The sequence below is a fragment of the Homo sapiens genome, chromosome 4, assembly GCF_000001405.40.
Source record: "Homo sapiens chromosome 4, GRCh38.p14 Primary Assembly".
NCBI classification, from domain to species: Eukaryota; Metazoa; Chordata; class Mammalia; order Primates; family Hominidae; genus Homo; species Homo sapiens.
In genome coordinates, this window is record NC_000004.12 from 121745893 (window position 1) to 121758762 (window position 12870).

General features: G+C 37.0%; 2 annotated features.

Moving 5' to 3' along the window:
• Window positions 2650-3253: an enhancer, noted in NCBI's record as "OCT4-NANOG-H3K27ac hESC enhancer chr4:122669697-122670300 (GRCh37/hg19 assembly coordinates)". NCBI's record gives its function as "activates a minimal SCP1, AML or CMV promoter by ChIP-STARR-seq in primed H9 embryonic stem cells {active_cell/tissue: H9 hESC(primed)}" and the evidence as "EXISTENCE:reporter gene assay evidence [ECO:0000049][PMID:30033119]".
• Window positions 3254-3857: an enhancer, noted in NCBI's record as "OCT4-NANOG hESC enhancer chr4:122670301-122670904 (GRCh37/hg19 assembly coordinates)". NCBI's record gives its function as "activates a minimal SCP1, AML or CMV promoter by ChIP-STARR-seq in naive and primed H9 embryonic stem cells {active_cell/tissue: H9 hESC(naive and primed)}" and the evidence as "EXISTENCE:reporter gene assay evidence [ECO:0000049][PMID:30033119]".

Here is a 12870-nt window from a genome sequence, read left to right on the forward strand (position 1 = left end):
AATTCTCACCTGTGAGTGAGAACATGCAGTGTTTGGTTTTTCGTTCTTGGAATAGTTTGCTGAGAATGATGGTTTCCAGCTTCATCCATGTCCCACAAAGGACATGAACTCATCCTTTTTTATGGCTGCATAGTATTCCATGGTATATATGTGCCACATTTTCTTAATCCAGTCTATCATTGATGGACATTTGGGTTGGTTCCAAGTCTTTGCTATTGTAAATAGTGCCGCAATAAACATACGTGTGCATGTGCCTTTATAGCAGCATGATTTATAATCCTTTGGGTATATACCCAGTAATGGGATGGCTGGGTCAAATGGTATTTCTAGTTCTAGATCCTTAAGGAATCACCACACTGTCTTCCACAATGGTTGAACTAGTTTACCAGCAGTGTAAAAGTGTTCCTATTTCTCCACATTCTCTCCAGCACCTGTTGTTTCCTGACTTTTTAATGATCGCCATTCTCACTGGTGTGAGATTAATTCAAGATGGATTAAAGATTTAAATGTTAGACCTAAAACCATAAAAACCCTAGAAGAAAACCTAGGCAATACCATTCAGGACATAGGCATGGGCAAGGACTTCATGTCTAAAACACCAAAAGCAATGGCAACAAAAGCCAAAATTGACAAATGGGATCTAATTAAACTAAAGAGCTTCTGTACAGCAAAAGAAACTACCATCAGAGTGAACAGGCAATCTACAGAATGGGAGAAAATTTTTGCAATCTACCCATCTGACAAAGGGCTAATATCCAGAATCTACAAAGAACTCAAACAAATTTACAAGAAAAAAACAAACAACCCCATCAAAAAGTGGGCAAAGGATATGAGCAGACACTTCTCAAAAGAAGACATCTATGCAGCCAACAGACACATGAAAAAATGCTCATCATCACTGGCCATCAGAGAAATGCAAATCAAAACCACAATGAGATACCTAAATTTTAATAAATTTACTTTTCCATTATCAAAGCAGTAAAGCAACATTTTAAAAGTCTGGAAAATAGATGCAGGAATTCCAAATCCCACTATTTAACACAAGTATTGTCATTTTATATATTCCCTTACAGCATTTTTGTATGTGTATTTTGCATGGTTACCACCATGGTAAATATAAAATTTTATGATCAGGCTTTTTTTTTTTACATAATATTACTACATTGTTCTTTTTGCTACATAGACTTCATATATTTTATTTTTAAATGGCTGTATATTATTGCATTAAGTAAATATCCTGATTTAGTTCATCATTCCTCAGTTACTGGAATGAATTTCTTAAATATTTATTGACTATTTCTACAAGGCCTACAACCTATAGATTATATCTCTATCTACACTTACATAGATAAGTACAGAGAGTACACAAAGACTTTATAATGACCATCTCCTTTAATTTTTTTAAATGCAAGTGTCTTTAAAACATATTTCCAGCACTGGACTAGATATTTTCGCATATTTTCTTTCATCTTATCCTTAAACTAACCCTGCAGCATCAGGCTAACAATCTCTATTATGAGAATAAAATAAAATACAGTAAGGAAGGCAAAGGAAGTATATAGGCAATATTTAAGTAGTTAAATATCAACCCAAATCTGACATCAAAATCTTAGGACGAGCTGTCTTTCTAAAATGTACTTTTCAAATCACTTTTTATTAGAAATAAAGGATAATGTAACCCTGTAGTACTGAGACATTTTAGAATCTAAGCATAAAGACTTTGATGTTCTGTTTGGCCAGTATGGTATTTTATAAATTTGTGAACAAGAGCATCTAACAGTAAAGCACATACCATGCAGCTTGCCACAGTCCTTACCCCTCACCTCATGCACATGTGTGCATGTACACATGCACACACATATGAACACACACAAATACACAGAAACACAACCACACAACACACACACAAGCACACATGCACATCATACAAACACACACTTATAGACACTCAACCACATACGCACACAGACACAAACATACACACAAATACACACAGTGTTATAGTACCTTTAGGCTATCTACCTGGCCTTTGAAGGCATCTGAGTTTGCGTCCCCTTTGTTAGCATTTTAACCAAAGAGAGGGGACACCTGTTAGGACACTGGGAAGCAGCTGAAGTAAATCTATAATCTGCACAAAATTAATAAATTTGGGAGATAATGCTGTTCGTAGCAGTAGATAGGTGATTACTGGGAGTATTAAATTAACCAAATATATTTACAATGAGATATGCAAAATTTATATTTGTATTTGTTCTGCTTTGAAGATTATGCCTGTTATGATATTGCCCCAGACAAAAAACTGGCAGGATAACAACATGGTCATGAAATCAATAATTCATATTTGTGAAGACAATTCTAACCTTTTAAGTACTTTTACATCTGTAGTACAAGACTCAGGAACAAAAATAAGAGCAATTAAAATGATCTATAAGAACAACCAAAACTGAAATGGCCACATAACCAAACCGTATAGTTTTTAAGAGCTCATACTGAAACATCAAAGGAAAAACATTTTTAAAAGAAGATTTCATTATATTGCATTCGCAGAAACCTCTTCCAGTTATTGTCTAATCCTAAATAATTTCACTCATTGTTTAATTCTTTGTTTACCTAGATGATGTCAAAAGGGTTTCCTCCCTTGAGGGACTGATACATTTCCCAAACACTTAGGGACGTGGAGACCCCCACAAGTTGCCTCATGTTCTAATTAAGTTTACCTTGCAATATTTGGAACACAGTAAATATTCTAAGAAAACCATTTTAGGATATTATAATCTGATTTTAGACAATTCTCATCCATTTTTATGGCTTTTGTAATTATTACAGATAATTATGAGTGAACCATTTTTTAAAACCTTATATTTCCTTTATGCCCTATGTAAAAACTAGCACTGTGATCATTTAATATTAGCACAGATTCATATCTAATTGGCATCCATGTTGATTGGATTATAAATTCATCTTTTTCAAATCTTGAATTAAAGCACTCAGAAACATCAATTCATAATAGCATGCAGGAGAAATAACTACATTGAGTAATTTGGGCATTTGTCATCTGAGAAATTAGAAGTGAACAAACTGCATCCACATTAAATGATACATACAAAGGTGGACATGAGAAGTACTCGTCTTATATTAATCTTATATGTGCTCTGTATGCACATGCCTTCAGATGCTGGATAACAGAAATCCTGCTTTCTGACTATTCTAAAGCAATCTTCTGCATGCCAGAATAGCTAACCAAATTGAGTCTAGGAAGTGATTGGATTCTGTATGAGTTTGTTTGGGCTGACATAACAAAGTACTAAAGACTGGGTGGCTTAAAGAACAGAAATTTATTTCCTCACAGTTCTGGAAGCCAGAAGTCTGAGATCAAAGTGTCAGCAGGGTTAATTTCTTCTGAGGTCTCTCTCCTTGGCTTGCAGATGGCCATTGTGATGGTTATTACTGTGTGTCAACTTGACTGGGTCACAGGATGCCCAGATAATCGTTATTTCTGGGTGTGCCTGAGAGTGCTTTCAGAAAAGATTAGCAGTTGAATTGGTGGACTGAGCGATGCAGATGGCCCTCCTGATGAGGGTGGGTCCTGTCTCGTTCACTGAGGGCCTGAATAGAACAAAAGGTAGAGGAGGGAGGAATTCGACCCATTTGTTTCTGAACTGGGATATTTTATCTCATCTCCTGCTCTCAGACTAGGATTTGTACCATCTGTGCCCTGGTTTTCAAGCCTTGGGGCTTGAACTAAATTATACCCCTGGCTTCCATGTGTCTCCAGCTTGTAGACAGCAGATCATGGGACTCAGCCTCCATAATCATGTAAATCAATTCCTCATAATAAACCTCCTTCATATATATTTATATATATAAAAAGGATATGTGGATGTGTGAATATATGTTATGTATTGTAATGCACATATGTATATATTTATATGTATATATACATACACATATACAGTACACACATACATCTATATATATTTATATATACACATGCATAGTTTTCTTTGGAGAATGCTAAAACAGCCATCATCTTCCTCTATCTTTACACGGCATGTCTGTGTTTTAATCGCCTCTTTTTTTGGATAAAAGTCATATTGAATTAGGATCCAGCCTAATGACTTCATTTAACCTTAGTTACCTCTTTAAAGGACCTATCTCCAAATACATTTTGAGATACTGGAAGTTAGGACTTCAGGACTTCAGGCTGGGCACAATGGTTCACACCTGTAAACCCAGCAATTTGCGAGGCTGAGGCAGGAGGATCACTTGAGCTCAGGAGTTCGAGACCAGCCTGGGCAAATAAGGACCTTATCTGTCTTGTTTTCACTGCCGTCTCAGCATCTAAAACTGTCTGGAGCAAAGTATATGCTTAATAAATATGATTAAATGTTAAATATCTGAAACTCCACCTCTACAAAAAATACAAAAATTAGCGAGGCATGGTGGAACATGCCTGTAGTCCCAGCTACTCGGGAGGCTGAGGTGGGAGGGTGGCTTGAGCCTGGGAGGCAGAGCTTGCTGGGAGCGGAGATAACGCCACTGCACTCCAGCCTGGGCAATAGAGCCAGACCTTGTCTCAAACGATGAGAAAAAGAATAAGTTAGGACTTCAACATATGAATTTTGGAGAAATACAGTTTAGCCCATATGATATTCTTATTTCTATATTTCATAACAGCGAAGCAAGTAACTATTACCTTTGCAGAGTTGGGTTGCCTCATTTAAAAAAAGAACAAAAAAGAAAAATGAAATTAGAAGACATCTAGCTTTTTAAACCATATTCTCCACCAACTCAGCCAGACAAAGGCAGTTTGGTCCATAAAAAGATGCTTTCCATCCTAAGCAGCAGTGAAAGGGCCCCTTTGCCAGCAAGTCTGGTACCCTCTTGCAAAGCTGTATGCACCTCCCGGTGCATAATAAGAACAAAGAAAAACAGAAACAAAAGCAGGGTGACTGAATGACTCTCCTCTTCCATTCATGATCATGTCTGTTGTCACCACTAATCCTCAAAAGCCAAAATTAGACATTAGGATGGTGGTCTTCAAACAACTAGGACAAGTTCACATCAAACTATCTAGGAAGCATTTTTTATGTTTTCAGCCTCAAACATATCAGAATATGTGAATGAAGAAGTGAAGCAGGTAGGATTAAATTCAACTGTATACAACATACAAGTGAAAATAAGGGGGACTTTACACAGAAGAAGTTCGGAGAAAAGTAGTCTAGAGTAGGTATGGTTGCTCCATGGTCATCAGAGATCCTGCTCTTTCCTTCTCTCTGGCTGCCTTTCTCAGCACAAGCTTCCGTCGTCACTATGGACTAATGTCCAAGGGGGCTTCTGGAGCTGGGGCCATTGAGACCATGCAGGCAGCAGGAAAGAGGAAGGCAGAAATGGCAATAGGGGATGCTCTAGCACATCTGCCTCTTCAGGAGTCTTCTTGGAGATCCTGTCTGGTAGCTTCAGCTTTTAATTCATCAGCAAGGGAGTCTAGGAAAAGTAATGTCTCAGACACACTATTCTGAATAAAATTAGTTTGGTTCCATAAAGACCTAGGGAATATGTGTGTTGTAAGAGCTTACTGAGGGATCCTAATATTAATACTTCCTAACCCCTTGAGAACCACTGCAAAAGAAACAGTTTCCTGGAGAATTTTCTTGAGTAGGCCATCCCAAAGAAATTAACTGAAGGACATATTTGTCTTTTCTCCCGGCATCCATTCTGCCTGTTCTCAACAACATCCCAGATTTTGATGTGAGCATCGAGCCCTGCCCTACTCTCAGTCTATATGGTCCAGGTGCAGGCCCATCTTTAACCCTAGGGATAAGTCAAATGATCCCAGCCTAAACCTCATTAGCATGTATCCTGTTGGCCAAGTAATTAGTTCAAGGGTAAGCATATGACCTAAGCCTATTCAATCAGAATGCGTCTCAAGACTTTTACTGGAATGTAAACTCAACAAAAATAAGGACCTTACCTTTCTCATTTCCACTGCTTCCTCACATCTAAAACTGTCTGGAATAAAGTACATGCTTAATAAATATGATTGGATGTTAAATATCTGAAAATGGAGCTAGAGATTAGAGAAAAACTAGATTTTGATAACATTGTTTGAATTTCTGTCTCTATGTACCTCAATTAAGTCTACCCTTGGTTCTTTCAGTTACTAAGTCCATAAATTTTCTTTATTTGCTTACAGCATCTTGAGTTTGAATTTCCCTTACCTGCACCCAAAAGGTAATAGGGAAGTAGGCAGGACCAGTAGACTAAGCCAGTAAAGGCTTAACATTTTATTAGGCTCAGAATATTAAATATTCAGAATATTAAATTTTTTGCTCAATAGAAATATTAATCATTTCTATTGAGCAAAAGAACTCACAACATACAGGATGATTTAATAAGTAGGATTTTGAAATGTGAAGAGATGAGGAGTCCCCTCTGATGACACATCTTATTTTGTATCTAACAATCAATGAGTCACCCCACAGAAATACAAACTACCATCAGAGAATACTATAAACACCTCTACACAAATAAACTAAAAAATCTAGAAGAAATGGATAAATTCCTGGACACATATACCCTCCCAAGACTAAACCAGGAAGAAGTCGAATCCCTGAATACACCAATAACAAGTTCTGAAATTGAGGCAGTAATTAATAGCCTACCGACCTAGAAGATCTCAGGACCAGATGGATTCACAGCCGAATTCTACCAGAGGTATAAACAGGAGATGATACAATTCCTTCTGAAACTATTCCAACCAATTGAAAAGGAGGGACTCCTCCTTAATTCATTTTATGAGGCAGCATCATTCTGATACCAAAACCTGGCAGAGGCACAGCAAAAAAAGAAAACTTCAGGCCAATATCCCTGATGAACATTGATGCGAAAATCCTCAATAAAATGCTGGCAGACCAAATCCAGCAGCACATCAAACAGCTTATCCACCATGATGAAGGCAGCTTCATCCCTGGGATGCAAGGCTGGTTCCACATATGCAAATCAATAAACACAATCCATTACATAAGCAGAACCAATGACAAAAACCACATGATTATCTCAATAGATTTAGAAAAGGCCTTTGATAAAATTCAATATCACTTCACATTTAAAAACTCTCAATAAACTAGGTATTGATGGAACATATCTCAAAATAATAAAAGCTATTTATGACAAACCCACAGCCAATATCATACTGAATGGGCAAAAGCTGGAAGCATTCCCTTTGAAAACCAGCACAAGGCAAGGATACCCTCTCTCACCACTCCTATTCAACATAGTATTGGAAGTTCTGGCCAGGTCAATCAGGCAAGAGAAAGAAACAAAGCGTATTCAAATAGGAAGAATGGAAGTCAAATTGTCTCTGTTTGCAGACAACATGATGCTATATTTAGAAAACCCCACTGTCTCAGCCCAAAAGCTCCTTAAGCTGGTAATCAAGTCCAGCAAAGTCTCAGGATACAAAATCCATGTGCAAAAATCACAAGCATTCTATACACAAACAGTAGACAAGCAGAGAACCAAATCATGAATGAACTCCCATTCACAATTGCTACAAAGATAATAAAATACCTAGAAATACAGCTAACAAGGGATGTGAAGGACCTCTTCAAGGAGAACTACAAATTACTGCTCAAGGAATAAGAGAGGGCACAAACAAATGGAAAAACAGTCCATCCTCTTGGATAGGAAGAATCAATATTGTGAAAATGGCCATACTGCTCAAAGTAATTTATAGATTCAATACTATTCCCATTAAACTACCATTGACATTCTTCACAGAATTAGAAAAAACTACTTTAAGTTTCATATGGAACCGAAAAAGAGCCCACATAGCCAAGACCATCCTAAGCAAAAGAACAAAACTGGAGGCATCACGCTACCTGACTTCAAACTATACTACAAGGCTACGTGACCAAAACAGCATGGTACTAGTACCAAAACAGATGTATAGACCAATGGAAGGGAACAGGCCTCAGAAATAATACCACACATCTACAACCATCTGATCTTTAACAAACCTGACAAAAACAAGCCATGGGGAAAGGATTCCCTATCTAATAAATGGTGCTGGGAAAACTAGCTAGCCATATGCAGAAAACTGAAACTGAACCCCTTCCTTACACCTTATACAAAAATTAACTCAAGATGATTAAAGACTTAAGTGTAAAACCCAAAACCACAAAAACCCTAGAAGAAAACCTAGGCAATACCATTCAGGACATAGGCATGGGCAAAGACTTCATGACAAACACACCGAAGACAATTGCAACAAAAAACAAAATTGACAACTGGGATCTAATTAAACTAAAGGGCTTCTGCACAGCAAAAGAAACTAACATCAGAGTGAACATGCAACCTACAGAATAGGAGAAAATTTTTGCAATCTACCCATCTGACAAAGGTCTAATATCCAGGATCTGCAAGGAACTTAAACAAATTCACTAGAAAAAAACAAACAACTCCATCAAAAAGTGGGCAAAGGATATGAACAGACACTTCTCAAAAGAAGACATTTATGTGGCCAATAAACATATGAAAAAAAGCTCAACATCACTGATCATTAGAGAAATGCAAATCAAAACCACAATGATGTACCATCTGACACCAATCAGAATGGCAATTATTAAAAAGTCAAGAAACAATTGATCCTGGTGAGGCTGTGAACAAATAGGAGCGTTTTTACACTGTCAGTGGGAACATAAATTAGTTCAACCATTGTGGAACACAGTGTGGCAATTCCTCAAGGATCTAGAACAAGAAGTACCATTTGACCCGGTAACCCCATTACTGGGTATATACACAAACGAACATAAATCATTCTACTGTAAAGACACATACATACATATGTTTATTGCAGCACTATATACAATAGCAAAGACATGGAACCAACCCAAATGCCCATCAGTGATAGACTGGATAAACAAAATATGGTACATATACACCATGGAATACCATGCAGCCATAAAAAGGAATGAGATCATGTCCTTTGCAGGAATATGGATGAAGCTGGAAGCCATCATCCTCAGCAAACTAACACAGCAACAAAAAACCAAACATCACATGTTCTCACTCATAAGTGGGAGTTGAACAATGAGAACACATGGACACAGGGAGGGGAACAACACACACTGGGTCCAGTTGGAGGTGGGGGATGAGGGGAGGGAGAGCATAAGAACAAATAGCTAATGCATGGGGGGCTTCAAACCTAGGTGATGGGTTGATAGGTGCAGCAAACCACCATAGCACATGTATACCTATGTAACATGTGCTTTTGGGCTGAGACAATGGGTTTTTCTAAATATAGAAATCTACATGTTCTGAACTTGTATCCCAGAACTTAAAGTAAAATTTTAAAAAAGAAAAAAAAAATCAGTGAGTCTTTTCAACAAATGGTACTGGAACAACTGCACATCTACATGCAAAAATACACAAAAATTAATTTAAAATGGGCCACAGCAATGCAAATGTACAATGCAAAACTATACAGTTATACAACCCCTGGAAGATAACTTAGGGAAAAAATCTAGGTGACCTTGGGTTTGGTGATGTTTTTAGATACAACATCAAAATCATGATTCATGAGAGAATAAATTGTTAAGTTGAACTTCCTTAAAATTAAAAACTTTTTCTCTGCAAAAGCCCCTGTTAAGAGAATAAAAAGACAAATCACAGACAGAGATAATATTTGCAAAATACCTATCTCATAAAGAACTGATATCCAATGTATACAAAGAACTCTTAAAACTCACGATAAGAAAAAAACAACAACCCAACTATACAATGGGCAAAAGGTCTAAAGAGACATCTCAACAAAAAAGATATACAGATGACAAATAAGTATATGAAAAGATGTTCAACATCATACATCATTAGAGAAATGCAAATTAAAACAACAAGAAACCACTAGACACTTATTAGAATGACTAAAATCCAAAACACTGATAACATCAGATGCTGATGAGGATGTAGAGCAACCAGAGCTCATTCATTGCTAGTGGAAATGCAAAATGGTAAGCCACTTTAGAAGACAGTTTGGCAGTTTCTTACAAACTAAGCATAGTCTTACCATACAATCCAGCAATCATATTCCTTGGTATTTACTCAAATGAGTTGAAAACTTAACATCCGCACAAAAAACTGCATGAGAGAGTTTATAGCAACTTTATTTGTAATTGCCAAAACTTGAAAGCAACCAAGATATCCTTTAATAGATGAATGGATAAACAAATTTTGGTACATCTGTACAACGGACTATTACTTAGAGATAAAAAGAAATGAGCTATCAAGCCACAAAAACACATGGAGGAAACTTAAATGCATATTGCTAATTGAGAGAAGCCAATCTGAATGGCTGCCTTACTGTATGATTCCAATTATATGACATTCTGAAAATGGCAAAACTGTGGACACAGTAAAAAAAAATCAGTGGTTGCCTGGAGTTTGGAGGCAGGGAGAGACAAATAGGTGGAGTACAGGTGATTTTTAGGGCAGTGAAATGATTTTGTGTGATACAGCAATGGCGGCGGCATGTCATGGTACGTTTGCTAAAACCCATAGAACATACATCAAGAGTGAATGTTAATGTAAACTGTAAACTTTACAGTTACAGAGTAAACTCTGTAAACTTTAGTTAATAATGTATTAATATTGGTAATCGATTGTAACAAATGTAACATGCTAATAAAAGATTTTAATAAGAATAGAAATGGAGTGTGGGGTTGGGGAGTGTGGGGTTGGTATGTGAGAACTCTCTACTTTAAACTCAATTATTCTATAACCTGAAAACTGCCCCTCAGTTATGAAATCTATTAAAGAACAAATCAATAAAATAAAAATTTAAAATAATCAATGAGAATAAATTTTGAAGCAATATTCCCTCTATTTCTATATATGTTTCAAGTTTCTATAACAAATTTTTACAAAATGTACATACCTAGATAGTCCACAGCTAGGAGTTTATCCTATAGCTGTATGCATATATTGATCAAAGATTTACATCAAAGGATTATGTACTATTGTCAGTAATAGCAAAAGCCAGGAAACAACTAAATATCCATTAACAAATAATTGGTTAAATAAATTATGCTTTTTTTACACATGAAATACTACAGAGCAGTTAAAAAGGGACAACTGGCTGGGCGCAGTGGCTCATGCCTGTAATCCCAGAACTTTGGGAGGCCAAGGTGGGCAGATCACCTGAGGTTGGGAGTTCAAGACCAGCCTGACCAACATGGTGAAACCCCATCTCTACTAAAAACACAAAATTAGCTGGGAGTGGTGGCACATGCATGTAATCCCAGCTACTCAGGAGGCTGAGGCAGGAGAATCACTTGAACTCAGGAGGCGGAGGTTGTGGTGAGCCGAGAGCGTACCGTTGCGCTCCAGCCTGGGCAACAAGAGCGAAACTCCATCTCAAAAACAAAACAAAAAAAAAACGGGACAACTATATGTGTAGAATGTAAGTAAGCTCCATGATAGGGAAGGTATCTTTGCTTTATTATTGTTCACTAATACAGCCTAAATAACCAGAATTGTGTCTGGCACCTGCTAGATCCTCAATAAGTATCTGTTGAATAAATGAATAGAGAATAATGGTTAAATTTCTTAAAGGAAAGTAAAAACAATGTGCATATGGTTTGCTTATCATGAAACATGAGGGCATTCCTCTTGACCAAGAGCTACCCCAGATGTAGACTCTGATTTTCCATGGAGCTGGGAGCAGGAATAAAGGAAGCATGGTGTTGGGTGGGGTTTTTTTAAATGAATCTGAACCATTTTCAACAAAATTACTCAAGCCTCTTAGTGTGTAGACTCAGAGTGGGCGATTATAAAAGTTCAAATGCATAATATTTTATGGTGAATACCAAGACTTACAATAAAACTTACAGTAATCAAGACACTGTGGGAATGACATAAGGATGGCCCTATGGAACAGAACAGAGAAACCAGAAAGACATCCACACTTACATGGTTATTTGATTTTTGACAAAGATGCCAAAGTAATCCAATGGGTAAAGTCTCTTCAACAAATAAAAAAACAAAAACAGAAACATTGTTTATATATAGGAGGAAAAAGAACCTCAATCTTCACCTCATACCATACACAAAAATTATTATTATTTTTTTTGAGATGGAGTCTCACTTTGTTGCCCAGACTGAAGTGCAGTGGCATGATCTTGGCTCACTGTAGCCTCAACTTCTTGGGTTCAAGTGATTCTCGCACCTCAGCCTCCCAAGTAGCTGGGATTACAGGCACCCACCACCATACCTGGCTAATTTTTGTCTTTTTAGTAGAGACAGGGTTTCACCATGTTGGCCAGGCTGGTCTTGAACTCCTGACCTCAGGTGATCCACCCGCTTCAGCCTCCCAAAATGCTGGGATTACAGGCGTGAGCCACAGTGCCTGGCCAAAAATTAATTTAGTATGGAAAATAGACCTAGTAAAAGTTAAAACTATAAAGTTTCTAGCTTAGAAGAAAACACAGGAGAATATTTTTGGTGACAGGGTATAGGCAAAAGTCTCTTAGGACAGAGAAAGCAATCAACATAAAAGAAAAACTAGATAAATTAAACTTTAAAATTTAAAATACATCTTTTGAAGACACTGTTAAGAAAATGAATAGGCTAGCCACAAAGTGGGAGAACATATTTGCAAAGCATATATATTTGATAAAGGACTAGTGTCCAGAAGATATCAAGAATTCCTATAACTCAATAACAAAAGACAAACAACCCAAAACAGGGCACTTGTAGAGAAATAAGGTCCAAGTGATGCTTAGTGTGATGAAACAACCAGATACATGAGAAAAGAATTAATCCAGTAATACTATACAACCCTCATACTTTATCCAAACTCTGAATATAATG